The following is a 25,999-nucleotide window of genomic DNA, read 5'->3' on the forward strand; positions in this document are numbered from 1 at the left end:
TTGGATGTATAATAAACACTAAAAAGTATTATTATGATGTATGAAAACAAATTTATTTTAAAATAATAGGTTGTCATTTACCTAGTCCTCTACATGTTATAATACATTTGTATAAGAACTACTCAGTCTAATGGTTTAGTAATAATTAAAACAAATTGTCAAAAAATTGTTTATATTATGATCAGTATATTTTATTTTTTAAAAACATCAGTAAATATATAAAGAAGAAAAAATATATTAATTTTAAATATAAATTTAGGTTCTTAACTAAAATTTAATTTACAGGTAACTACTTTGTAGTAATTCATATATTGCTCAACTTAAAGAATAAAGAAATTATCATACTTTCATCAGCAGGAAAAGGATTTTGCACAGAAATCACTATGATACATGGTTGTAGATATTCATTTACAGAGTGCCCCTTGTATTTTGCCCATTCTGAAAGAAATATTGTATCAGCTCAAGAAGTACACTAATAAAATTATTTAGGAGTCATATACTACTTCTGCACACACACACACACACAAACTCACTTTTTTTCATTAACTTAAATCAAAGATGTCTTTTGACTAAATTTAAGACTGAGTCGAGAACAAAAGATACATCATCCTTCAAGCTACTGAAGATCGGGGGGCTGCCTCTCTCTCAGGAGTAGAAATCTCTCAGATCCCTATCAGTGAGACTTGGTTCTGGAAATATTTGTCCTTTCTGAATATCAGCCAGAGGCTGATAGAAAAGCAGGAGGCAAATAAAGATATTTCTTAACTTTGCAAGCTCTTTCTTCTCTGGAGCTTTTTCCAAAGAATAGTTTTTATGTGAAACAAACTGATAGCTTCAAGTTATAGCCCATTGAAAGTGGTCTGCTTACTATTATCTGCACCCATACAGTAATGTGGCACCTTATCTAGAGAGTGAGGCCAGTGGACCAACCATAGTGATAAATTTGACATTTCAAGAAAACGTGTTTTTGATGCTAAATCAGCTCACTTATTTCCTTCAATGCCCTCCTACTTTGATTTTTGCACACACAAAAATGTGATTGAAAAGTAAATTGAACAGGAGAATTATTCACAATTTTTCCCCTAACTAACCTACAGACTTTATTTGGATTTCATCAGTTTTTTGACTACTGACCACTTTCTATTCCAGAATCCAATAGAGAAAACCACATTGCCTTTAGTCATTATCATCACAGTCTAGTCTGGGACAATTTCTCTGTGTCTTCCTTGTTTTCATAATCTTGACACCTTTTGAATACACTGGTCAAGTGTTTTGTAGACTGTCTTTTGATTTGGGTTGATCTGATATTTTCTCATGATTAGACTAGCTTTATGAAATTTCTGGGAAGAATACCCCAGAGATGGAAGACCCTTTTGTTATAGCATCATATCAGGTTGGACCTGTCATCAGCATGACATTAGATAATATCCTGATTATCTAAATGATGACAGTTTATTTAAAGTGTTGGCTGCCAAGTTTCTCCACCGAAAAGATAGTGCTTTTCCTTTTTTGGAAGTGAGTCATTAAGTCTAATCCATATTCAAGGGAGAGGAACTAACATCCAACTCCTGAATGGGAAAGTATGTCTATATGTTATTTGAACTGCTTCTACATAGATTTGCTCCTTCTTCCATATTTTTACTCAATCATTTTTATAGCAAGTGTATTTATTTTATACTTTGGGTTATAATCTTCTACTAACCTATTTATTTTGGTGTTCACATGTTCTAGCTTTGTCCATTGGAACTCTGTCATTCCTGTGTCTCACTCACATGACTTTATGCTTCTTCTATTTCTCTCTGTTTCGTTTTATGTCTGGTGAAGTGACATTTTAGTACTGAAAGATGCTCCAGGCTCATATGACATGTTCCCTGTTCTAATTCTAGAATGAAACATTTCTTTAAGAAACTCTGATTTCTTTTATTGGAGAAAGATATTTAGAAAACAAGATCTGACTGTTGGGTATTCCCAATTTAGTTTAAAAATATCATAGGATCATCACATGCTCACAAAATCTGTTTTTTTTTCTAACAAAAGATACTTCTGGTAAAATGTAATCTCAACATTATGAATCATGATATTGGAGGGGAGTTGAGACAGCATCACAAACAAATGTATAAACAATTACACAATTATCAGATTTGAATTTGAAAAGTGTTTAACTGTTAATATAAATGTTATTTATTTATTTATTTATTTATTCCAACCCCACTTGATTGTCTTGTGTTAGGAGGTGAAATACTTGCTCTCTATGTAAAATACAATGGCTGCCTCAAGTGGGTCACAATCCAGTGGGGGAGTTGCCTAAATATATTAATTATAAGAAAATAAAGAAAGTGCAAAAAAGTGCTATGAACTAAGTGCATATGAGCAGAGGGAATAACAAAAGTAGAAAATAAACTCAATGTTGAGAAGACCCTTCACTAGAATACCATTTAAATAGAGTCTTAAAGAAGACAACTTGGAAGATGAAAGTTTAGTGATGCTGATGTGGAAAGCAAGTTAAAAATTCCATACATAGAAAATCTCTGTTCTATACGAAATCATGAATAAAGTCATCAAAGTCATGTGAATATTCATGGCATCATGAGGAATCAGTGTTACTGGAATTGCTCTAGACGTACATGGGAGTGCATTAGAAGAGGAGGCTGGAGAGGTAGATTGGGACAAGAGACTGTAAAGAGAATTTCCCAAACTAGCACATATAAATAAATGGAGTCTCTATTGTAATTCCTATTATCTGAAAAGGTTGAAATTAATTTATGATAAGACAGTTTTGCTTACTTTTTAATTACCAGCTGAAGACTGGGAATGTGCCATATTGATTCTCAGTTTGGTACAATGTATTAGTGTAGTTAGAGAAGGCTTCCATGGTCAGAGGTGTGGGATTGAGACCTAGGCTCTGTCAATTATGAACTATGTAACCTCGAACAGATTATTTTATCTCTCGGATACTCATCTCATCTAAAAACAGTATGGAAATAAACACCTCTTAGGGTTGTTGTAAAGATTAATTGCAATACTACAGGGCACATCTAGACAGAGTATAAACAATAAATGTCAACAAATATTATTTAAATTTTGTCTCAGTGATTATATTGGGCATGATAGATAATAGAACTACAAAGGACTGGCTGGCTGGTCATGCCCATAGCAGCTGACTATGTCTATAGTGAACAAATCCTTTGATAAAGGAGCAATTGCCACAAATAATTGGGGCAAAAAGGATCACAAAGGTGAAAAATACCTTCAAAGTTAGCTTTCTTTTTTTATTGTCAAGGAAACATCTTCAAAATTTAAGCTGACTCAAATAAGGTCACTGAGCAAGTTGGTGCAGAGCATGTGGAGTCCAAGCCTCCCTTTCTTTGTTTGTTATCTCCTTGTCAGATACACAAAGCCAGTGATTCTGATAGATAATTATTGTATTGATTAATTAATGCTTGGATTATCTTCTAAACAAATACACAATTTGTTTAAAAATATAAGTATAAATTAACTCATTAAGAATACAGACACATAAACTCAAAAATTTTAATGGGAACAAACTATAGTATAATTTGCATTTGATCTCTTTTATTCTCAATCTTCTGGCCCCTTTACTAACATATTTGTTCCTTTTTTTTTTTTTTTTTTTTTTTTTGACAGAGTTTTGCTCTTTCGCCTAGGCTGGAGTGCAGTGGCGCAATCTTGACTCATTACATCCTCCGCTTCCCAGGTGGAAGTCATTCTCCTACCTGAGCCTTCCAGGTAGCTGGAACTATAGGCATGCACTACCACACCCAGCTAATTTTTTTTTTTTTTTTTTTTGTATTTTTAGTAGAGATGGAGTTTCGCCATGTTGGCCAGGCTGGTCTCGAACTCCTAACCTCAAGTGATCTGCCCATCTCAGCCTCCCAAAATGCTGTGATTACAGGCGTGATCCACTGCACCAGGCCTCATATTGATTCCATTCAGTTGAATAGTGGGGTAACTTTAAGCATTTCTTCAACTTTTTCTAATATTGTGCATAAAATTATAACAATTTCAAATAAATTAAAAAAAACACAATTTGAATTGCACTTGAATTACTCTCCAGGGGGCTCAATTGTAATCACTATATTCAAATATAGAAGTATTAATAACTAATGACTAAGGTAGCATAATTTATATGAATAAAGATTTTCATTAGGTTTAATAAAATATACTGGTTCTTCTTTTCTTATATCTTTGATAAAACAGTCTCATCATATCTTATGTCTCTCTCTTCACCAAATTCTTAATAATAATGTGGTCAAAATCTAAATTACCACAAAAGATTAACAACTAGCGTATGTTGTTTTATTTCATTGCTAATATTATTCTGTCTACCCTTTGAAAAGGAGACAAAAGTTAAGGGAAAATTTGATGTTATGTGTCGATTTAAATTACATGGTGTTTTGTAGGCTTGAGATAAAATCAGCAAAATTACTAATATTTTCTATAGTGGTGATAATTGACAATACATTGTTTTTCAAAGTATGTACTCAAGAGAACTTCTAAAATATTCTGTGACTCTTGTTAAAATGCAGATTCGTGGACTTAATAACGTATTACCTGAGTTAGAATCGCCAAGGTTGTATATTTAACAAGTTGCTGGTTTGTTTCCTAAGCTGATATGGTTTGGCTCTGTGTTCCCACCCAAATCTCATCTCGAATTGTAATCCCCACATATCAAGTAAGGGACCTGGTGGAGTTAATTTGATCATTGAGGTGGTTTCCCCCATGATGTTCTCATGATAGTGAGTGAGTTCGCACATGGTCTGATATTTTGTAAGTGTTTGACAGTTCCTCCTTCACACTTTCCCTTTCTCTCTCCTGCAGCCTTGTGAAGAAGGTACCTGCTTCCCTTTCTGCCATGATTGTAATTTTCCTGAAGTCGCCCCAACCATGTGGTACTGTGAATTAATTAATTTGCTTTCCTTTATAAATTACTGAGTCTCAGGGAAGTTCTTTATAGCAGTGTGAAAACAAACTAATGAGCATTTTTTATGTTGAAGAACCTCTGGTATGCTGACTCTTTAAGAGTTTGAGTATTAAAAAAAAGTTTTCTGTCCAGCAAAGCCTTAATATTGAGCATAGTGCATAATATTCTCACTTAAGAATTTTCAAATTAGCTGAATAAACATTCTAAAAAATTCTAGTTAATGGAATTAACATAACTTTTCTGTGACTATATGGAAATTATCTTACATACTGTAAATTCAGAGGTATACATAATTAGACTTTGTCTATATCTGTAAACACTGTATTATTTGAATAATTTTGATTGAATAACTATTTTCTAATTTAGATTTATATCCTACCAGCAAAGGTCATTACATTATAACATTTATTTATTTTATTGTGATTCTGAGTTATATTTTTTAAAATTTATATCCTCATTTTAATATTTTATAAACTGTATATAGTATTTATTATACATGAGGTATTGCTTTATGAACTATTCAAATATTAAATTATGTGATTTCATAACAGTTCTAAGAGTTAGGTGCTATTATTTTCTCCATTTCACAGGTGAGGAAACTGAGGTATAGAGAGGTTATAAGATTTGCTCAAGACCTTGCAATTGTCCTAAGTTGATGAAACCAGAATTCAAACCCAGACAGTCTGGCCCAGCATCTATATTTTTAACTCATGCTCTGCCGCCTGTGACATGAGATTGATAAATTTGGTTGAGGTCAAAAGTTGGAAGCTTTGATTTTATTGGGCTTTCTGCCTAATTCTTTCTATAGTAAGTGAGAAAGAGGCCAATTTTTAAAAAAAATCTGTTTGAACAAGTCTTAATAGAAATAAATCCTTTTGGCAGGCTTCTCTAAAATGTCTTATTTTATCTTGCAGAATTTGCAATTAAAAATATTTCTTCAAAAATTAACATTCCAACTTAGTGTGATAAAGTCTGACTTTTATTTTCGTCTTGTAAAATCAGTCATCAACCAAAAAAAAAAAAAAGGAGGAATTGCAGAGGGTTTTGTTTTGTGTTTGACTTCACTATTTCTATTACAGTAGCTCTTCATCACCATGGACTTGAATGTTAAGAAAAAAAATTAATATGGCTTATAGCAGTAATCCTCTTAAATGCTTGAGACTTTGCCAGCTTTCAACTAACAAGCCAGGTTATTAACGGCTGCGGTCCTGCAACACTCTGGGATTATTGTCTAGGTCTGCTGACGAGGCATTGCTAGTGACCAGTTTGTAAAATGCAATCTGTTATTTTATTTCATAACCTGATCAATGATTAAAACTGCTTGAAGTACAAAAATATGCCTTCCCAACCAGCTGATGATTTTTGCAACATAGAATTGAATGTCTCCTTTTATGTGTGATTAAAGGTTCTGATTATTACCTATGTAAGTTATCTGGCAGCTTTTTTGGGGGGCTTTTGGTTTGATCAAGCAAACTTGAAAAGAACATCAAGATTAAAAAAAAATTAACATTACCTTTAACTAAAAAAAATGACAGCTCTGTAAGAAGACTGTCTCCCCTCACCTGATTCTTAATATGGAGTTTCTGACAAGTATAGAGATTTGCCTTAATTATTTATTCATTTCATTGAAATCATCTTCATCTGCTTTAAATTTCTAATAAGTCTATTTAAATAAAGAGAATCCTATTTGAATGTTGATTTTATACTTTAAAAATCATGAAGGTGTCTGTGTTTATAATGAAGTGCAGAGGAGGCAATGGTAATGATTATATCAGTAAGTGGCCAGAATAAAATTGCAAATCCCATTAGCTAATGACATAATGGCATTTCAAACCAAGTTACTATAAAATAGTTCCAGATATCAGTAGATTAGAAAACAATAATAAACCATTATTGCTGCTAGAAAATATGGAAGATGTAATCTGAAAACAAAGAAAAAAATAATCCATACTTTCTCACCTTTATGATCTGAACAAGTTACAACTTGTAGAACACTTGCCTTTGGTACAGCCAATAGGGCAGCTAGTTGCCTTGTTCCCTATGCCTAGGTTCAGGCTTCAAAATCTGGCTTCAGGTTTTGACATAATGATTTGTTTCATTGGTTTGGTTTGATTGTCTTATTAAAAACCCAACAGCTCTGATATGAAGAGTTTCTGAAGCTCTATTTTTTCATTTCCCTTGTGGGGTCTAGATGATGTCCTGCAAATTTGCTTTTCATAGGTATCCAAATTCAGCATAAATTCACCTACTGGCCCCCACCCTTTGCAAAAGCACCTTTTCCAGTAAAGTATGTGTATTGAAAGTGTTAAGTGTTGGGATTTAAATATAGCACAATACATATGAAGATAGGTGAGAGAGACGTCTGGTATGGTGGACGTTTTATTTTCAGTGTAGTTCTAAGGATGGTTTTTCATGTCTTTTAAATAGGAATGGATGACAGGTTGGAAGCATGTTCTAAAAAATTCCTCCTATATACAGACAGGGACATACACACAGATACATGTACGTTTAAAGAATAGTATTACAGGCAGGAGAATAAAAAGCAAGACAAATGTGTGCAGAAAGGAAAACTAGGCAGTTATTCCTACCTGAATTTTCACTCGTAACTCTTCTGAGAATACTATATCCTACAATAATCCTATATGTGTCAAGTATCAAAATTGTATTTTGGTGAGAAAGGTTATAAAGAAAATATGTTTTTCAGCCTTACATTTTGGAAAATTCTAACTTCTTATTTGCTTCTTAGTTGCTCAGGTTTCTGAAAATGAAATTGGAAATCTGAAAAACAAACCTTCAGAATTATAAACTAAATTGTCTTACAAATTTTTTAGATCCTATTGACCAGTCCAATGCCATTCTACCTCATGAAAAAAATAATAATAAAATAAAAATATTTTCCCTTGTCTGGAAGCATTTATGAAAGCTAAAAATGGCATGCTGAAATTTCAGGATGATATGTCTTGTTGTATTTTGTCCCCCAATTCTTTTGATGATAACTCATGGAGCCCCTGCATTTTGCAAATCTTTGCAGTACAATTTGGTAATAATTAAACACAATGGCCAAAAATAATAGCTCTCCATATTACTTTTGCCCCTTTCCAATTTATTTCACCCAATGTAGTTGTTAAATTGCAATCACAAAGTAAAAATTCACCAATCATGCAGAACAACAAGTTTAATTTGTTGATCCATTTTAACATTCAAATCTCCCTACCAATGATTTTAGCAATGATTTATACCTCAATGTAAGAAAGTTGCATATGTATATTTTTAAGTCTATTTTTTTTGTAGGGAGATAATCATGATACAAAACTGAATTAATGAATGAGAAGTTTCTACAAAAGACAAGTTAAAACAAACAAACAAAAAAAACCAGGCTGTAACAAGGACATAATTGAGGGGACAAAGGCAGATACGTCTTATTATTTAGTCTGAAGTAGGAATTGGTTGCTTAAAACCTTTATTATATTTTTAAATTGGTAAATGCAGTGTAATTTTCTATAGATATAACCATTGGTTAAAACTGAGGTTTTATAAAATTATTTTAATAAATTCTGATAACCCATTTATGTCTTTTATTCCAAGAAATCTAATTCTGCATGTCAAGTTCCAAGTGAGTAGCCCAAGAGAATACACTTAAATGTATCCACCTATTATGTACCAAAGTAAAAAACATACATGTTTGTGGTTCTGCATTAGAAGTGGAAAAGTTGGATCTGCATCTCCAATCTGTACTTGCCAAAGATTCTGATATTTCCCAAGTCTATGCAAATATACATAGATTTTCCTCCATCAGGTATAAAGAACATGTGTGAAGATGAAATAACTCAGCACAAGAATGTATTCATACAACATTCGTGTGGAAAATTTGAGAAGTATAAGACGGCATAAATTTTCTAAAATATAGAAAAGGTGTTTCCTTTCTTTTTGTATTTACATATATACATACATATATATAAATATATCTCCTATGAATCTGACAAATTATAATATATAATAATACATTGGACTCTTGTTGCACCTTGCTCCTGAAATTATTAAGGGATGTTCACATTGGTTATCTCATTTGTTTACCCACTATTCTTCTGAGGTAGAAGAAGTTATACTGTGATATCTTTTGTACAGATAGCACTTTTCAAAGCTTCATTTTCACCTACAGAATGGCTCAATCAATGACAGAAGGCAATTTTAGGAAAAATTGTTCATATACCAAGCGGATGGATACCATCCGCTTAAAAATATTATCCACAACATATTTCTCAGCATTGTCTGGTATATAAAGTGGTAACAGAGTACTTTTTAAAGTTTCTTACCACTGAATTATATAACAACTCCTTCTAATCTCCCCAAAATTGGATTAAATCAGATTAAGCACGTGATAGTAACAAAATAATAATAAAATTAGTAATGGAGATGATGGAGGTGGGTAAAAGGGAAACTAAATTCTATATAGTTCCCGATATTCAGAAAGATTTCTAAAAAATACTTGGATTTCAATATACCACACTGAAGATTGAGGCCTTTGTTCATTGTTTTTCCGATGGAAAAGAAAAGAAACCTGAGGCTTTGCAAGATTTTTCAGTGAGATGCTTCTGACAAGTGATCAAATCATTGAACACTCTTCTTGAAAAATAATGTTCAGATGTAGTCTAAGTATACGCCCTGTGACAGCACGAACAACCTTTCCTCTGTATTGACATTCATTCTAATAATAGAAAAATGTAGACAGAATATCTGACACCCCCACCACACCAAACAAGACTGTGACTTCATGTCTGTGATATAAAATCTTATTAATGGAAATATTCTCATTGTTTAAAAATGGTTTTGAAACTGCCTTTTTACTTTTGATTACATGTTACCAAAACAATAGGAAATGTGGTAGATAGAAGCACAATGAAACTTAAGAAATAATAGTCTTATTCAAAGAGTTGTAAACGTTGCCTAGTAAAATGATGGCCCGCATCAGATCAGGAAATTGACATATTTTATTAGCAATATATACATAAATATCTTGTCAATGCTTCTATAAACAAAGACACTTTTTAAAGTCAATCTTTAATATGAAAATTTTCAAACACAAAAAAGTACAGAGTATATTATAAAGACTTTTCATGTACCCATCACCTACAGCCAACTTGATTTTATAGAGATACTACCCAATTAATCACTTGGTTAAGTAAACAGATTATTTTAAAGAAAATCTCAATTTCATATCATTTAGCAGCAAATTACTTCAGTATATATCTCTAAGAAATATAGAATATTTTTCTAAGACATACTTCATCTTATCAAACCTTTCAAACATTAGCAACAATTCCTTAGTATTATCAACTGAGTTAGTTTTCTAGGTTTCCCTAATCATCTATTTCTTAATTGTTTCTAAAAAGTTCATATAATACAATCAGTTGATGTGCCTCTACCTCTTTTTTATTCAGTAAATTAACCCTGCATTCTGCTTTCTATTCCTTATGACTCATTTTTAAAAGGAGCCGGGCCATTGTCATGAAAATAATTTTGTTTATTTCATAATGTCTAGTCATATGCCATGTGACTCTATTACTTACATTTCTTCTAAATTGATAGGTAGCTAAATATATGACTTCTGATTGATCTAATTCAGATTTGAGTTTTTGAGAGGAATGCCTATTTTCTCTAGTTGTAAGACTCAGAATCTTTGTAACTACGTATCAATGAAATACAATGTACTTTGGGACTAATTAAATCTCATTAAGTTTCAGTTCTACCATTTATTAGCTTTAGTGTCTGACCCTTAGAAAATTGTATACCCTATTTGTCACTCAGCTTCCACAAATTATGCTTCTTGTTTCTTCTCTCTCTTCAATGCACTGTGACCTTTAAAAAATAATTTTACTTTGTCAATATTGAAACTCATGCCTTCTCCTCAGTAACTTTTTTTGTAAGGATGGGAGGAACAATTCAGTTATAAAGCTATTGGCAGGCGATCTTTTATAAAATGTTTTGGTGTCTGATTATTAACCTACAGAGGTAAGGAGTATTGTCAAAACATGATTTTTTTCTTGAGTAGCTAAACATACACTAATAGATAGTGGTTACAAGGTGTTTTATTCATTTTCTTTTAATATTTTACAGAAAGAAGCTGTTGAAACAGTCCATCTTACAACCCTTCTCTGGTAAGACATGTGAGTGAACTAAATGCAGCTAACCTAGCAGCAGATGCAAGGAGGGTTTTCACAGAGTCTGATACTAGAGGAGTCAAAACTTTGGAGATCAAAGGTCTTTGGGGCTGAACAAAAAAAAAAGGCGAAGATTAATCTGTTTGAAATTACACAATAATTTATTTTAGAGGGGAAACTGTACATGCTTATTTTTTCTTTTGATGTTTGTGTGTCATTATTATACATTATTCATAGCTAATGTAAAGGGTATTAGTTATGACTATGACTTGGTTTTCTTTCTTTCTTTCTTTCTTTTTTTTTTTTTTTAGAAGGAGTCTCACTTTGTCGCCAGGTTGGAGTGCAATGGTGCAATCTCAGCTAACTGCAAGATCCACCTCCTGGGTTCAAGCGATTCCCCTGCCTCAGCCTCCCGAGTAGCTGGGACTACAGGCACGCACCACCACGCCCGTCTAATTTTTTGTATTTTAGTAGAGACAGAGTTACACCATGTTGGCCAGGATGGTCTTGATCTCCTGACCTCGTGATCCGCCAGCCTCGGCCTTCCAAAGTGCTGGGATTACAGGCGTGAGCCACTGGACCCAGCCATTATGACTTGTTTTAAGCAGGGTCTGAATCCTAAATTGTAATATTTTTAAAGTGCAAGAGGTTTTTTATATTTTCTTTATGTACATCTATCTTATGTTCTGGCTGTGTAACCCATTAACTCTACACATCAGAGTGGGAAGTGATATCCAAAACATTTCTAAAAGAGCACTGGTTAACCCTATTTCAGTGACTCAAATGTCATAAAACACGTATACCACATGATAAATGTTTACTGAGCCCAGAAAAAGCCAGATAGTACAGTTTAAGTCCTAAAAATCACATAATTTAAAAACTGCTGAAAGAATTGGGGACTTTAAACCAAAGACTAAAGCTCGGCTTGGACCAAATTTTTAATTCACAAAACAAGCTGTCTTCATAGTTTTAAAAAGGAGGATTGTGAATTATCAAGTACAGTTACATCTATGTTACATAAAAGTGAGAGATTCTTACAAATAGAGTTAAAGAGCAGACTTATTCTACTTAATATGTGAAATAATTTCTCAATCATTTGAGTTGATTCAAAACAAAATCAATTCTTTCTAGGTGTCACTTAACTAACTGTAGCTCATTTTCACACATATGGCACTATTTTTTTTTTTTTTTTTTTTTTTTGAGGCGGAGTCCTGCTTTGTCGCCCAAGCTGGAGTGCAGTGGCGCGATCTCGGCTCACTGCAAGCTCCGCCTCCCGGGTTCACGCCATTCTCCTGCCTCAGCCTCCCAAGTAGCTGGGACTACAGGCGCCCGCTACCACGCCCGACTAATTTTTTTTGTATTTTTAGTAGAGACGGGGTTTCACCGTGTTCGCCAGGATGGTCTCGAGACCCTGACTTAGTGATCCGACCGCCTCGGCCTCCCAAAGTGCTGGGATTACAGGCGTGGGCCACCGCGCCCGGCCCACATATGGCACTATTGTACAGCTGAGTGATGGCTCAAATAATGAAATTGTTGATTGTTTTTAATTGTATTTTTGTGTCCCCTCAACATTTATATACTGAAACCCCATATCCCCAGTGTGATGGCATTAGTAGGTGGTTCTTTGACAGATAATTAGACAATGTTCTTGGGGCCCTCATGAATGGGATTTGAGCTCATATAAGAAAAACAAAAGAAGAAGAGGAAGAAGAAGAAGGAGGAGGAGGAGGAGAAGGAGGAGGAGAAGGAGGAGGAGGGAAGAAGAAGGAAGAAGAGGGAAGAAGTACTAGAGCTTGCTTACTTTTTCTCTTCTCTCCGCCATGTGCAGATGCAACTAGAAGACAGCTGTTCGCAAACCAGGAATAGGGCCCTCATCAGACGCTGGATCTGCGGGTACATTACAATTGGACTTCTCAGCTTGGAAAGGTATGCCTACAAGGTTTTTGACAAAAAAAAATAGTCCAACTGGAAAGAATTTTTTTTGTATAGTTTAATATTGGAATGGAATCAGAGTGGATAATTCAGTGAAATACATATAAATACATGGTGGAAATTCACTATTTTTACTTCTATTTTGATTTTAAAAGTTACAATCAGTACCCATTCTAGCTCTGTTCAATGGTGAAATCTACTGGCATATTATTAAAGCTGTCAGAGGAAAAGGAATGTTGGCAAGCCATCAGTTGGCAAATGTGAACAGGGGTCTTGGCTCTTATCTTAAGGACAGACATTATCAATTTGGATAAATGATTTTGTACACCAAGAGGTATGTTTTACTTATTTATTTGCTTGTTCATGGTACAGCTGTAAGTCAAATGCTTTATTATTTGTTAAAACATCTAAAACTAACTTCATTTTTGTTCTAGTATAGATTAGAATGATCTAGAGTTTTCCATAATACATACCTAAAAACTCAATATCTAAGGCACATGATCAATTACAGCTTTAAAATCAAGCAACAACAAGCTAACAAAGCACATAAAACACAATACTTCATATTTATCAAAATTTGTATGTCCTTTCTGAGAATTACCTGACTCAATCTGTAGAGAAGTAAGAAGTAGGCGGGATTCCTTCACACTGTCTTCCCCCAAGTTCAGGCACCTAATTTCGACAATGTAACATTTTGCAGATTGAAGAACAAGAATTCTAGCCCTATTATGTAAAGGGAAGTTTAAGACTCAGAAAAGAAAAATGAAAAGACTCAGAAAAGAAAAAAACTTCATGAGAATTTTCTGAGCTATGCCTATGAGGTATGCCTGAGTCCTATGCTCTGATGTCTAATTTGTTTCCCCATAATAAATGTAGAAATGTAGAAAATTCCAATGAAGTGAAAAAAATTTAAAGAATTGAATGTGAAGGTGAGGGAAGACATGGGTTTAGATACAAAAGAATAGTGAGTTTCAAGATTATAAATTAAAATTTTGTTTTGCAGAATTTAAAAACAAATTATAATTTTATGCTAATAAGGGTGAAGTAATTAACATTACTTGAAATGCTAACCACACAAAATACACCATGTATTATAACTAATTTAATACTCACAAACTTGGGGTGCAAAAATGTATAATTCATCACATTTTTTCATTGGGAAAATAGGTGCAGGGCTGATAAGCAACATATTGCCAAAGTACCTATAGAGGCATATGTGAAAGCTAGATTTTCAAACCTTTCCTATAAATATTTCTACTGAACCTGATTATAGAAGATGAGGTAGGAAGGAGTATGCATTTCTGTCCCACTATCCTATATCATAAAGACCTAACCTAAGTCAGTCATTTATGAAAATCATTCCTGGCAAAAATCAAACATACGTATATGATTATAATAATGTAATCCTCTATCAGAGTAAGAAATATATTTCATACAATTTTATCTGCATGTGTAGTAATGTGTTAATACCAGGAAAATATGACTTTGAAGACATTGAAAGCTGACTCTCTCTCTCCCCCTCTCTGTCTCTCTCTCACTATATCTATGTGTGTGTATATATATATAGAGAGAGAGAGACAGAGATCTTTAACCATTATGCCTTAGCTTAGTTCAGTACAGAAATAACTTGTGTTTTCAAAAGGCCAATTAAACACTTACTTCTTTTTGAGAATCTATGAAATAGTTTTAAGTAGCAAAGTCAACAACAGTTAACATAATTAAAATGGCATTTTTAGTAAGAATTTTATTCCAACTTGTATTAATGTTTATTTAAAAATATTCTTGCCTTGTGAACCCATCTGTTTCCTGCCTATTATGCTACCTAAATTCTGTAATCATAGTACTCAAGGGAGATTTTCACATAATTTTTTTCATGATATAGAAAGCATTCTACATTTCATTCAAAAGAAATAATTTGATTCAAACTCCAAAGTAGCTGGGAAGAAACTGTTGATAAAATTAAAAACTGAGACGTCTTCCTGAGTTAAGTTTTTTCTTATTGTAAGTGACTGTATTATAAATTTCCTTCTCTTGACAGAAAAAAAAAAAGAAAGATCTCCAGTCAGTCAATGAGTCACAGTTTTGAACTTTAAAAATTCTCACTAAAACAGCAGCAATATTCTTTTGAATATATGACTTTCAAATCACCTTTTGAGCATATTGAAATCAATTAAACAATAAGTATATTCTCATTTACAAAAGAAATCAATCAGCTGTCATTTTTGATTGATTATTCTTAGTTGGAGTGGTATTTAATTTATGAATTTATTACACATTTTTCAACTACTATAAAATGGCATATGAATTAGGAGTGATGTCTCATAGTAAATGGACAAAAATTTTAGTCATCTCTCAATACATTTTGTGAAGTCTTTCTTGAACCATAGGATCAGCTGTTATTGAATAAGGTAGGTTATTTTTATTAAGCATGAAATGATATTGCCTTACTATACTGTCAAGGACAAGCACATTCGCAAAAATTGAACCTAAAATATGTGCCCAGGGCAAATTAAGCTAACTATATTTTGTGTATGCATATGATATTCAAAAACACCATATGTAATACCTTTCACTGCGAAAATATGCTTTATAGGACCTAAGTAATCTTTGTGAATAAGCTTACCTAATGTACACCCCAGTAACCCTCCACAGGTCACTGACCACTGTCATTGTCTAAATATAAATCAGAAGAATGCTTTCTATATCCACATTTTGAGATTATCGAATTGGAACCATTGATAACAAAAGTAGTATGGTAGGTATAGTCTTCCCAGAGTGAATAAGAATTTTATCACTGGCATTGTTTATAATTACTACAGTTGTCACTGAACCAAACTAGGCCTGGTTGCCTGCACACAATGGAAATCCATCAACACTGAAGCACTGGGTTTTGCAGTAAGAAAGGTTTACTGCAAGTGGACTGGCAAAGGGACAGGAGAAAACGCTCCAATCTGTCTCCCAGAGCTAGGGGCTGGGTGAGGTTTTGCAAGCATAGGGCAATGAGGCATGGTCTGATTGTTCCTTGGTCTTGATCCAAGCCAGGGCTCGATCTGATTGGATCCTGGATCCTGCCATGGGTTGTCTGCTTCTTAATTCAGTCCCCACTCTTCCATCAGAGCACTTAGGTTCTGCCTGTGGTTGCAGGCTTGGTCCATCTGGGCATGCTCAGTTTATGTGACCTTCAACCTGCAGGATCCATGACAACTGAAAACCACCTCACAACTTTGTGACATAAAAGTTGAACCAGGTTGGTTTGACATTTAGTCAGTACTATTATTATTTTTAAATTATCTACTAAGAATCCATTTTCTTATCACCTGTACCATATCAGACTGCTTCCTCTTTCCTCCACCCTTAATACACCACTGCTTGCTATCAGTATTTTTTATTAGTTTCTGAAAAGTAAAATCCTGTCTTCTTCGAAGTGTGGAAACCACATATTTTATTTAAAAATGAAGCTAAGTAGGAAATTCATTTTGTTCTTTGGCAACTTCCTACACCACCACTTTTATTTTTTTACCTCTTGCTTAAAGATTTTTTTTTTCAAAGACGATGCTTCTTCTAGGACACATTTAGCATTGCAGCTTTGTCTCTGGGAAGAATCTAGAAAAGCAAAGGTAAAATCTGCATGGTTGCTAGAGATTGGGGATGGAAAAAAAGAAAATGAACTTAACTGTATCAATGACTGTTTCTTCATGGTGAGGAAGTAATTTTTTATTAAATGTATCTTATTTCATTTACAAAGAGCATGGGCTGTTGAAACTGTTATGGAAGTGGCACATGGTCATGGTACCTATTTTTGTGATCATGAAAAGAGCAGGAAATTGTTTGAGTTGCATTAACCTACAATTAGAGTTATGACAAAATAAGCAAAAAAAAAAAAAAAAAAAAACAGTCTAAAATGGGAGGGGAGCATTCATTTAGACTCCATTGTGTGCCGAAGTTTATGGCAGGCATGTAAGCATATAACATGTGTTATTTTACATAACATTTTCAACAATCCCGCAAAGTATTTATCCTTATCTTCATTTTAGAGGTAGGTAAACTGGAGATCAAAAAGTTTTAATAACTTGCCAAAATTCCCAGAGCTAGTAAGTAGCATAAAGAATTTGTAGCAAGATTAGCCTAACAGTTTGTTCTCATCTCATTGTACCCAAAATGCAAAAATTTAAAAGAAAATGTATATGACAGTTGAGTCTCAGCTCATAAAAAGATCCTTATGGGAAAACTAAGGCAATAATAAAAAATAGTAATTCTTATTGTATGGTCATTATATTTTAGTTTGCAGTGGAAGAATTCCTATCTCTGATTAAGGAAGGTAGGAAAAATTGGTAACTGAAGAATTATTTCACAAGCTCACTTCTATTAACTGCTGTCACTAAAGAACCAAACAATTCATCCAACCAAAGTCCTCAACGTGTGTGTGTGTGTGTGTGTGTGTGTGTGTGATTGTGAAAGTGTGAAACTATTATATTGAACATTTGGATAGAAAATCTTCCAAAAATGTGTATAGATTCTATAATCTTTAAAATATATTTTGTGCAGTATATTTTTAAGGTATATTAAAAACACAGGCCTGGCGTGGTGCCTCATGCCTGTAATCTCAGCACTTTGGGAGGCCAAGGCGGGCAGATCACTTGAGGTCAGGAGTTCGAGACCAGCCTGGCCAACATGGTGAAACCCTGTCTCTACTTAAAAATACAAAAATTATCTGGGTGTGGTGGTGCATGCCTGTAATCCCAGCTACTTGGGAAGCTGAAGCAGAAGAATCATTTGCACCCGGGTGATGAAGATTGCAGGGCGCTAAGGTCGCGTCACTGCACTCCAGCCTGGGTGACAGAGTAAGACTCTGTCTCAAAAAAAAAAAGTCAGAATGAAGACCACTTACTGTTTGTTACAAAGGAACGAAACCATAGGAATCTGCATAATTTATTACATGTTTCACACTTTGTGATTACACATTTGATATACCTGTTACTCTTACATCTTATACTTTTTAAAGAGAGCATTCAGGATCCAGTGAAAAATAATTTCTGCTATTCACAATAACAAAGACATAGAATTAACTCAAAGGCCCATCAGTGATAGACTGGGCAAATAAAATGTAGACACCATGGAATACCATGCAGCCATAAAAATGAACAAGATCATGTCCTTTGCAGGGACCTGGATGGAGCCAGAAGCCATTATCCTCGGCACACTAACACAGGAACAGAAAACTAAACGCTGCATGTTCTCACTTATAAGTGGGAGCTGAACAGTGGGATCTCATGGACACGGGAAGGGGAACAACACACACTGGGGCTTAGCGGGGGGCAGGGGAAGGGAGATCATCAGGATAGATAGCTAATACATGTGGGGCTTAAAACCTGGGTGATGGGTTGATAGGTGCAGCAAACCATCATGGCACAAGTTTACCTATGTAACAAACCTGCACATCCTGCACATATATCCTGAAACTTAAAAGAAATAAAATAAAATAAAATAAATAAAATAAAATCCAAAAAAAAAGAAAAGCAATGTCTGGTACAAACATAAGCTTAAACAATGTTTGCAGAGTAAATGAAACAGCATCAAAAGATAAAAATATATAGCCATGTTTAGAGTACTAATCCAAAGATCTCAGTCTTTAATAATATTTCCACCAGAAAATTTTAGTATTCAAATATATTTGGCAACATAAATTCATTAAAATTTGGTTATCCAATGTTTTCTTTGTTGACTGTTACAACAAAAATATACCTCTCTGAAATTTTAAATTGTAACAGAATGAAGGAAACCACTGGATGATGTTATATCAAAATACCCTAAATTGTGTTAATAAAATCGTATACTTACTTAAGATATACTAAGTAAGAGGATAACCACCTCTCAATTTCAATGAGAGAAAAGCAATATGTTTACCTAGTCTACTCTGGAAGAAGTTGTTTTGTAATCCCTTCCAAGAAATGCTTCTCCCAAGAAATAGACATGTTTTCGAAGACATAAAAAACAAGCAATACGCATAGAACACAAGGTAAATTTAAGAACATGTTGCTCTAAATTCATTGTGAAAATGTATGTTATTTAGTGCTAATCCATTCCTTTGGTTGGGAGGGTGTCAGTTTTGACTTAAACCTTCAAAAGGCTGTTGAAAAATTGCTGACCACTTCAGTCTTCAAGGCACTCTACAAATTCTACCCCATTTATAATGTAAAAAATGTATTCAGCTAAAGTCTAAATTACAAAATAAGATGATTAGGCCCTGTTAAATTATATTGTTAATAATCAGAGCTTAGAAAAATAACACAGCAATCCTTAAACACATTTTGATTCAATTGTTTCTGCTTGCATGAAAAAACATTTGATAACAATGAAATAGAAAACTTAGTTTTCTATAAAGTTTTCAAACTGTAATAAAATGCTGTACTGTAAATCCAAAATGACCTGCAAAACTCAGGGGGAAAGTGAATATGATCTCTTTCCAGTTATTCTAGCAGAGACAATATAATTTTTGAACTTCCTGACAGCTCTATTGCTTTCTCTACCATGAGCTGGCAATGCGTTACTGGTGCCTTCATCAAGAACTGTTCTTTCACCTAACACTGCAAAGTCAAAATTTCACCTATCATGTGTGTATGACACTGTAGCTTGAAACAGACAGAACAAATTGAATTATGCTGAAAATACACAGGAATTATAGATTAATAGTAGCAAATTAGTATTCTCTTCATGTCTTTCCATGTTTTAAACAGTGCTATTTTAAAAATTCAGATGAAAATGTTTTCATTTGTAGAGAAATGTTATTTGTGATGAATATGTAAAGATATTTAAAAATTTTTATTTAGATTTCATAGAAGTAGACTGAGCTTGCTGATTGTGTTTAATACTTTAAAAATTAGTAAATACTGATTGCTTGAGTAAGAGGTAGTGTATGGGCAGGACACTGATTTTTATTCATCTTTAGTGTTTTCACAATTTAAAACATATGGTTGAAAATAACAGGAAATTATCTTTTTCCATCACAAATTAAGAAAAAATGACATTTTTACAGCTTTAAAATAACACTCAGAAGATTCTAGCAAAAATAGTTTGACTATAAATACAAACATTATGCTATTATTAGATGTTATACTGATAGCCTTCCCAGGCTTGAATGTAATATTGTGCTTCAGGACAATGTATACAAAAATAAATGGAAAAAGTTTTATCCACATTTATGTCAAGTGTTTTGTTTGGAGAGTGTACTATACAGAACAATTAACTTAAAAGGATCAAGTCCATGTGGAAAGGAAGACTATCAGAGGAGAATGCAAGGAAGGAAATGTTTTGCAGATGTACTGCATTTAAATTAATAAAATCTCATTAGGTTTTATGTTTGCCAATAACGGCTGGAAAAGTTACCATACATTGTAGGAACAATTACCCAAATCTTCACTGTCTCATTAGGTTTGTCATACTGTTTTCATTATAATACATTAGAACTTGCAAGTGAGCCTTCAGTAATGACATATTGTTCCAATTCTCCTTTCAGCAGGCTCTAAGATATTTTAGTATTTGTGCTATAAGCCAGCAGGTGTCTTCACTTTGCTTTTTCTGAATCAGTTTTATACACAGACCTCCAGACACAGAATGGAATGTAAAAGGGCTTTCAACAACCACATAAAACTGAGTCTGATTAGAGTAAAGCAATACACACTATTTTTATGATTTTATGGTAATTCAACGCACGAAAAATGTGCACCTTTAGAGTATATGTCTGTGCTAGTAAGACCTGTTAGTGAGAGCTGTATTAATGTAGATAAACCATGCAGTATATAAAGTTTAAAGATTTGCATAACAAATGGAAGACATAGAGCTGATTTGAATATCTAAAGCATTATAAACTTCAATAAGAACAACCAACACTGTTTGAGCTTTCAAGGCACTTGCATTCAAATGAGAAAGATTTAAAAAGGATACGATTTTTAAAATGCTTTGAAGCTTCCTATTAAAGGTCTTAGGCAGCTCAAGGTTAAAATAAATATTGGATTTAAGGTGGGTGAGAAAAGACTTAGAAGCAATTTAAAGTAGAAATCACTTAGCAGTGGAATAGAATGAATGTTTATAGTTAGTGTAATTGTCACCTGACCTTCAAAAAACAAAGAGCCACTCTACACCATCCACAAGAATGAAAAAAGTTAGCCAAAAAAGACATCCAAATTTCTACCCTAATCATTTCTTAAAATTAGAGTAAATTATGACTCAAAAATGTTTTTCCTAGAAAAATAAATGTCCCCCCCAACAAGTGTAGCTCAATCTAAATGCTTGAAACAATAAAGATCAAAGTACCTGCTAATGCACTAAGCTATCATTATAGTGAAATAGCGTTCTATGATGTGTCCTTTTCTGAAGCAGGTGAGAACTCACAGATATCTTCTCCTATCATTGTGCCAAATAAGGGAACAAAAGCTGTCGCTAAATGGGTTACAGTACTCTTAATAGTTACGATACACGAATTGGTGAGTGTTGGGCAATTTTTTAATTTTATGATTGAAGGATAATAAGTAAAGACTAAAAGAACAATCTCTTAGAAGGACTTTTAAAATGATCAAATACTTTTTGACATTAGAATATAGAAATATTATTTTGTGGGATATAAATGTACCAATATATTTATAAGCACTTATATAATGCATCATGCATATTTTACAGAATTACTATCATAAAATATATAAAAATACATATTATACAGAAAGAAACAAAGTACAGGCCTTCCCTCAAGCAAAAAATAATGGTTTACCAAACCTTCTGATTACAAATTACTTTACTTACAGTTCTTTAGAAAGAAAGGAAATAGCCATTCACCCACAGGCTCCTCTCCCACAGCAAGTCACTGGTGACATTTCCTGTATGCCATGTGTGGACTGTTGGGAGAAGGTGGCTTAATTTACTTTGCTTGAATTCTGCTGTGCCAGGGCATCATTTTAGCAATTATCTAACAAGCTTCTGAAATCTATAGAAAAGCATCTGCAGCACACTTTTCATTGCTAAGTTGGATATACTAATGAAACACTTTTATAACCACTATCTATTATGTAAAGAAAATGTTTTCTTCCAAGTATTTGTACTCAATGTATATGATTATTATATATAATATTTGCAAATTATTTTTTCCAATAAGCATGGTTGTTTTCAAAAGGACCCTTACAAGGGTCCTTTTTGATAAATTCAAAATCAAGCAAGATTTGAACATAGCTTGGAAAATTATATATATATATATATACACACACACACTCAGTATATATATACTTTTATATATTTGTGTGTGTTTTTGTGTTTTATATATACACACACAGATATAAAAGTATATATATGGTGTGTGTGTGTGTGTGTGTATGTGTGTGTGTATATATATGTATATATATACATATATAGCTGAAAATAACAGAACTGATTAGAAGACATCTGTAAAGTCCTTTGCCTTAGATAACTTAATTGTATTAAGTTACAAAGAATAAGAAAATTTAGTCCTCAAACAGAGTCCTGCTAACCTTTTAACCTGTCACTTCTTGTACGTGTCCCATTCATATCTCACATATTTCTTGAGGGAATTGAACACCTATTTATTGATTGCTTAATCTGAAAGTATGGATACAAAACATGGATGATCTAAATTTCTGATGCTTTATCAGTGTCCTTTACCTATATTAAGCATTTTATTAGAGCATACTTAGGAAGAAGAAACTATCATTATCATCATCATTCCTACATACAGATGAGAAAACAAAGACACAACGAGGCTAACCAAGGTCAGATAATAAGTGGCTTAAAAGGAATGTGAAACCAGAGGGCCTAGATCTGTAGACTTAGAGATGTGAAGACTACATTCTCAACCATTAGTTGTACATACAATCTTCTCAAGAATTCGTTTGTAGTCAATACGAACATTTTTACAGGAGGTGTTTTGAACCCAATTTCCAAACACTCTCTGTCTTTGTTTCTGTCTCTTTCTCCCTCACACTCTCTTTCTGTCTCTTTCACTCTCTCTCATTCTCTTTCATATATATAGAGATATCTATGATATACTTCTAGGTCTATCATTTATGTGTGTACGTTCATGAAAATTATTGAGGTACATTTAGCAACAGGTTTTTGCCCTGTTTGTCACACAGAAAGAACAATATGTCTATGAAACATTATCTGTCTTTAAAGACATCGTTCTTTTTGTCTATACATATACATGACAGGAAGAGTTCATGAAGAGATTAATTTTTGAAGACTTGCGTTCATTATCATGACAGGAATATGTCATAAATGCCTCAGAGTTCTTATGGACTCCTCTCTTGAGTTATCCTCTCTAAATATCTACGTTATTTCAGATAGTCCATGAGAAAACAAGGTAGTCGAGTTAGATCACTGCTTTTCAGTTCAGTTGTGGAGACATAGCCACGAAGATTTGTATATAGTAATGAATTTTTCCCTACTGCTTTTTTTTCCTGACTAGTATCAGTTTCTAAATAATAGTATTATAGAAATAAAATATGTATGCACATGTACATTCATTGCAGCCCTATCTGCAATAGCAAATACATGGAATCAACCTAAATGGCCATCAATGATAGACTGGATAAATAAAATATGTTATATATACACTATGGAATACTATGCAGCCATAAAAAGAATAAGGTTATGACCTTTGCAGGGACATGAATGGAGCTGGAGGCCATTATCCTTAGCAAACTAACACAGGAGGAGAAAACCAAATAATGTCTGTCCTCACTTATAAATGGGAGCTAAATGATGAGAACACATGGACACTTAGAGGAAAACAACACACACTGGAGATTATTGGAGGGTGGAGGGTGGGAGGATGGAGAGGATCAGGAAAATTGACCAGGGGATACTAGCATAATATGTCAATAATGAGATAAACTGTACAACATATCCCCATGACACAAGTTTACCTATGTAACAAACCAGCACATGTACCCCTGAACTTAAAAGTTAAAATAGGCCGGGTGTGTTGGCTTATGCCTATAATCCCAGCACTTCGCAAGGCCAAGGTGGGCAGATCGCTTGAGGCCAAGAGTTTGAGACCAGCCTGGCCAGTATGGTGAAACCCCGTCTCTACTAAAAATGCAAAAATTAGCCGGGTCTGGTGGCGCCTGCCTGTAATTCCAGCTACTTGGGAGGCTGAGGTGGGAGAATCGCTTGAACCCGGGAGGTGGAAGCTGCAGTGAGCCAAGTTTGTGGCTCATGAAGGAGAGAGGCCCTGTCTCAAAAAATAAATAAATAAACTAATTAATTAATTGATTTAAAAAGTTAAAAGAAATATAAGGTAATTGAAAGGAATGACGTGATATGTTCATCAAGAAAAAGTAGTTAGTGGGTACCCCTGATCCTATAGCAGCTTCAAAAAATTTTTCCAAGAAACATCTTGGCTTTAGGTACCTGTAAAAATAATGACATATAATTAGGATTACACTGGTACCATGATAAATCTTACTATGTCTTCCTTTAAGGCTGGAGAAATGGCACAAATATGGATATACTATTCCGTATTTTCCTTAATGTTTTTTAGTTTTAGGCACACACACACACACACACACACACACACACACACGCATGCATGCTTTATATTTTAAATTTTCACTTAGTGCTTTGTAAGGCATACATATAAAAAATAATACATTTTGGTTAAACAACATTTTAAGAAGTAAGTCCTTATTTTTCACTACATTATGAGACAAAAATTCCTAGAAATATACCAGGATATCTAATCTCATTATTATTCTTAATAAACTTTATAACCTTGACCAAATTGCATTAACTTCTCTTGGCCTCATTTTCAGTTTTAATTTTGGGCTTAACATTTTTAATTCCAATAATTTTGCACTCTAATCTTCAAAATTTTTTTTATAAATCTTTTCCATTCGCAGGTTGTTCAATGCACTTTTTGTGTAAGTTCGATTAGCCAATATTCTGGATTAGTGAGATACATTTTACAAGCAAATCTCAAATGACCACATAATCTAAGAATTGTAAGATATTTTAAAATGGATATTTTTGTTAACATTTCTCTGTTTTGCTCTTAAGATATTAAATATGCCTACTACTCTTATTTTATCCAGGTATGAACTGTGTCCTACTAGACCTTGTATTTATATGGACTTTGAAAATGACTTACATAACTGAGCTGGTAGTTAGATATACTTCCAGATAAAGACATACTCCATTTTAGCTCATTTCTTAAAAAAAAAACAAAAAAAACAAATTTGTCTTGATTTTATTTTTATTTTAAAATCAGCAGGCAAACTAAAATGTTGGTTCAAGCCAGTACTCAGCAAGTCTATATAGATTTTAATTAATTTAACTAATTAATTGATTATTTTTAAGTGGTAAGAAGACAATGGAGGTAAGAAAATAGAATCAAACTGCTTGCCACTTTATTTTGAAAACAACTTATTTTCCTTGTAGTTTGGTTCTTAGTATTTACTAGAGAATGTCTTTTCTCATTTGCCTTTATAATGTCTTTTTGTTGGCTTGTCGGCATCTCATTACATTATTTAGTTTTATATTGCATTTGTAGTATAACAAATTACTCCCTAATGTAAAATGACCAACACTTAGAAACAAACATAAAATTGAAAGTAACAAAATTGTTATTAGAGGGAAATCATCCATAATAAGGAAAATAGTAGACTAAATTGTTTTCAGTTTATTTATGAATATATGCTCATTATAAAAATTATTTAACTTAAAAAAACTTAATTTTACATCTGTCAAGTTCTATGACATCTGTGTTTATCTACTTTTCTGGATTACAGCCGATCTCTTAAAGGAAAAACTAGTTATCTCCAGGGATTTCAACTACTTTATTTTAATTAGGTCTTTTTTAAATGGACTTTTCCTTGGAATTAGCAAATATGAATGGTTTTAAAATGTAAGATACAAATTCTGTCATCTCTCAAATACTCACAGGAATAGAGGAAAGAAGATGTATAGA

The 25,999-nt window shown here is 33.3% G+C and overlaps 1 long non-coding RNA gene across 1 annotated transcript in view, besides 3 other annotated features; it reads left to right on the forward strand.

Moving 5' to 3' along the window:
• The first annotated feature begins 16,230 nt into the window (after positions 1-16,230).
• Positions 16,231-25,999, forward strand: part of LOC105370255 (uncharacterized) — a 62,160-nt gene continuing 52,391 nt past the window's right edge. Inside the window, exon 1 of the long non-coding RNA XR_942058.2 lies at positions 16,231-16,279. This is a non-coding gene — a long non-coding RNA (uncharacterized LOC105370255). The remainder of the gene's footprint in view (positions 16,280-25,999) is intronic.
• Positions 19,930-21,189: an enhancer, noted in NCBI's record as "VISTA enhancer hs126". NCBI's record gives its function as "enhancer in: limb[6/7]" and the evidence as "EXISTENCE:transgenic organism evidence [ECO:0001131][PMID:17130149]".
• Positions 19,930-21,235: a biological region, named in NCBI's record as "VISTA enhancer hs126".
• Positions 20,610-21,235: an enhancer, noted in NCBI's record as "NANOG hESC enhancer chr13:71344289-71344914 (GRCh37/hg19 assembly coordinates)". NCBI's record gives its function as "activates a minimal SCP1, AML or CMV promoter by ChIP-STARR-seq in primed H9 embryonic stem cells {active_cell/tissue: H9 hESC(primed)}" and the evidence as "EXISTENCE:reporter gene assay evidence [ECO:0000049][PMID:30033119]".

The sequence above is a fragment of the Homo sapiens genome, chromosome 13, assembly GCF_000001405.40.
Source record: "Homo sapiens chromosome 13, GRCh38.p14 Primary Assembly".
Lineage (NCBI taxonomy): Eukaryota > Metazoa > Chordata > Mammalia > Primates > Hominidae > Homo > Homo sapiens.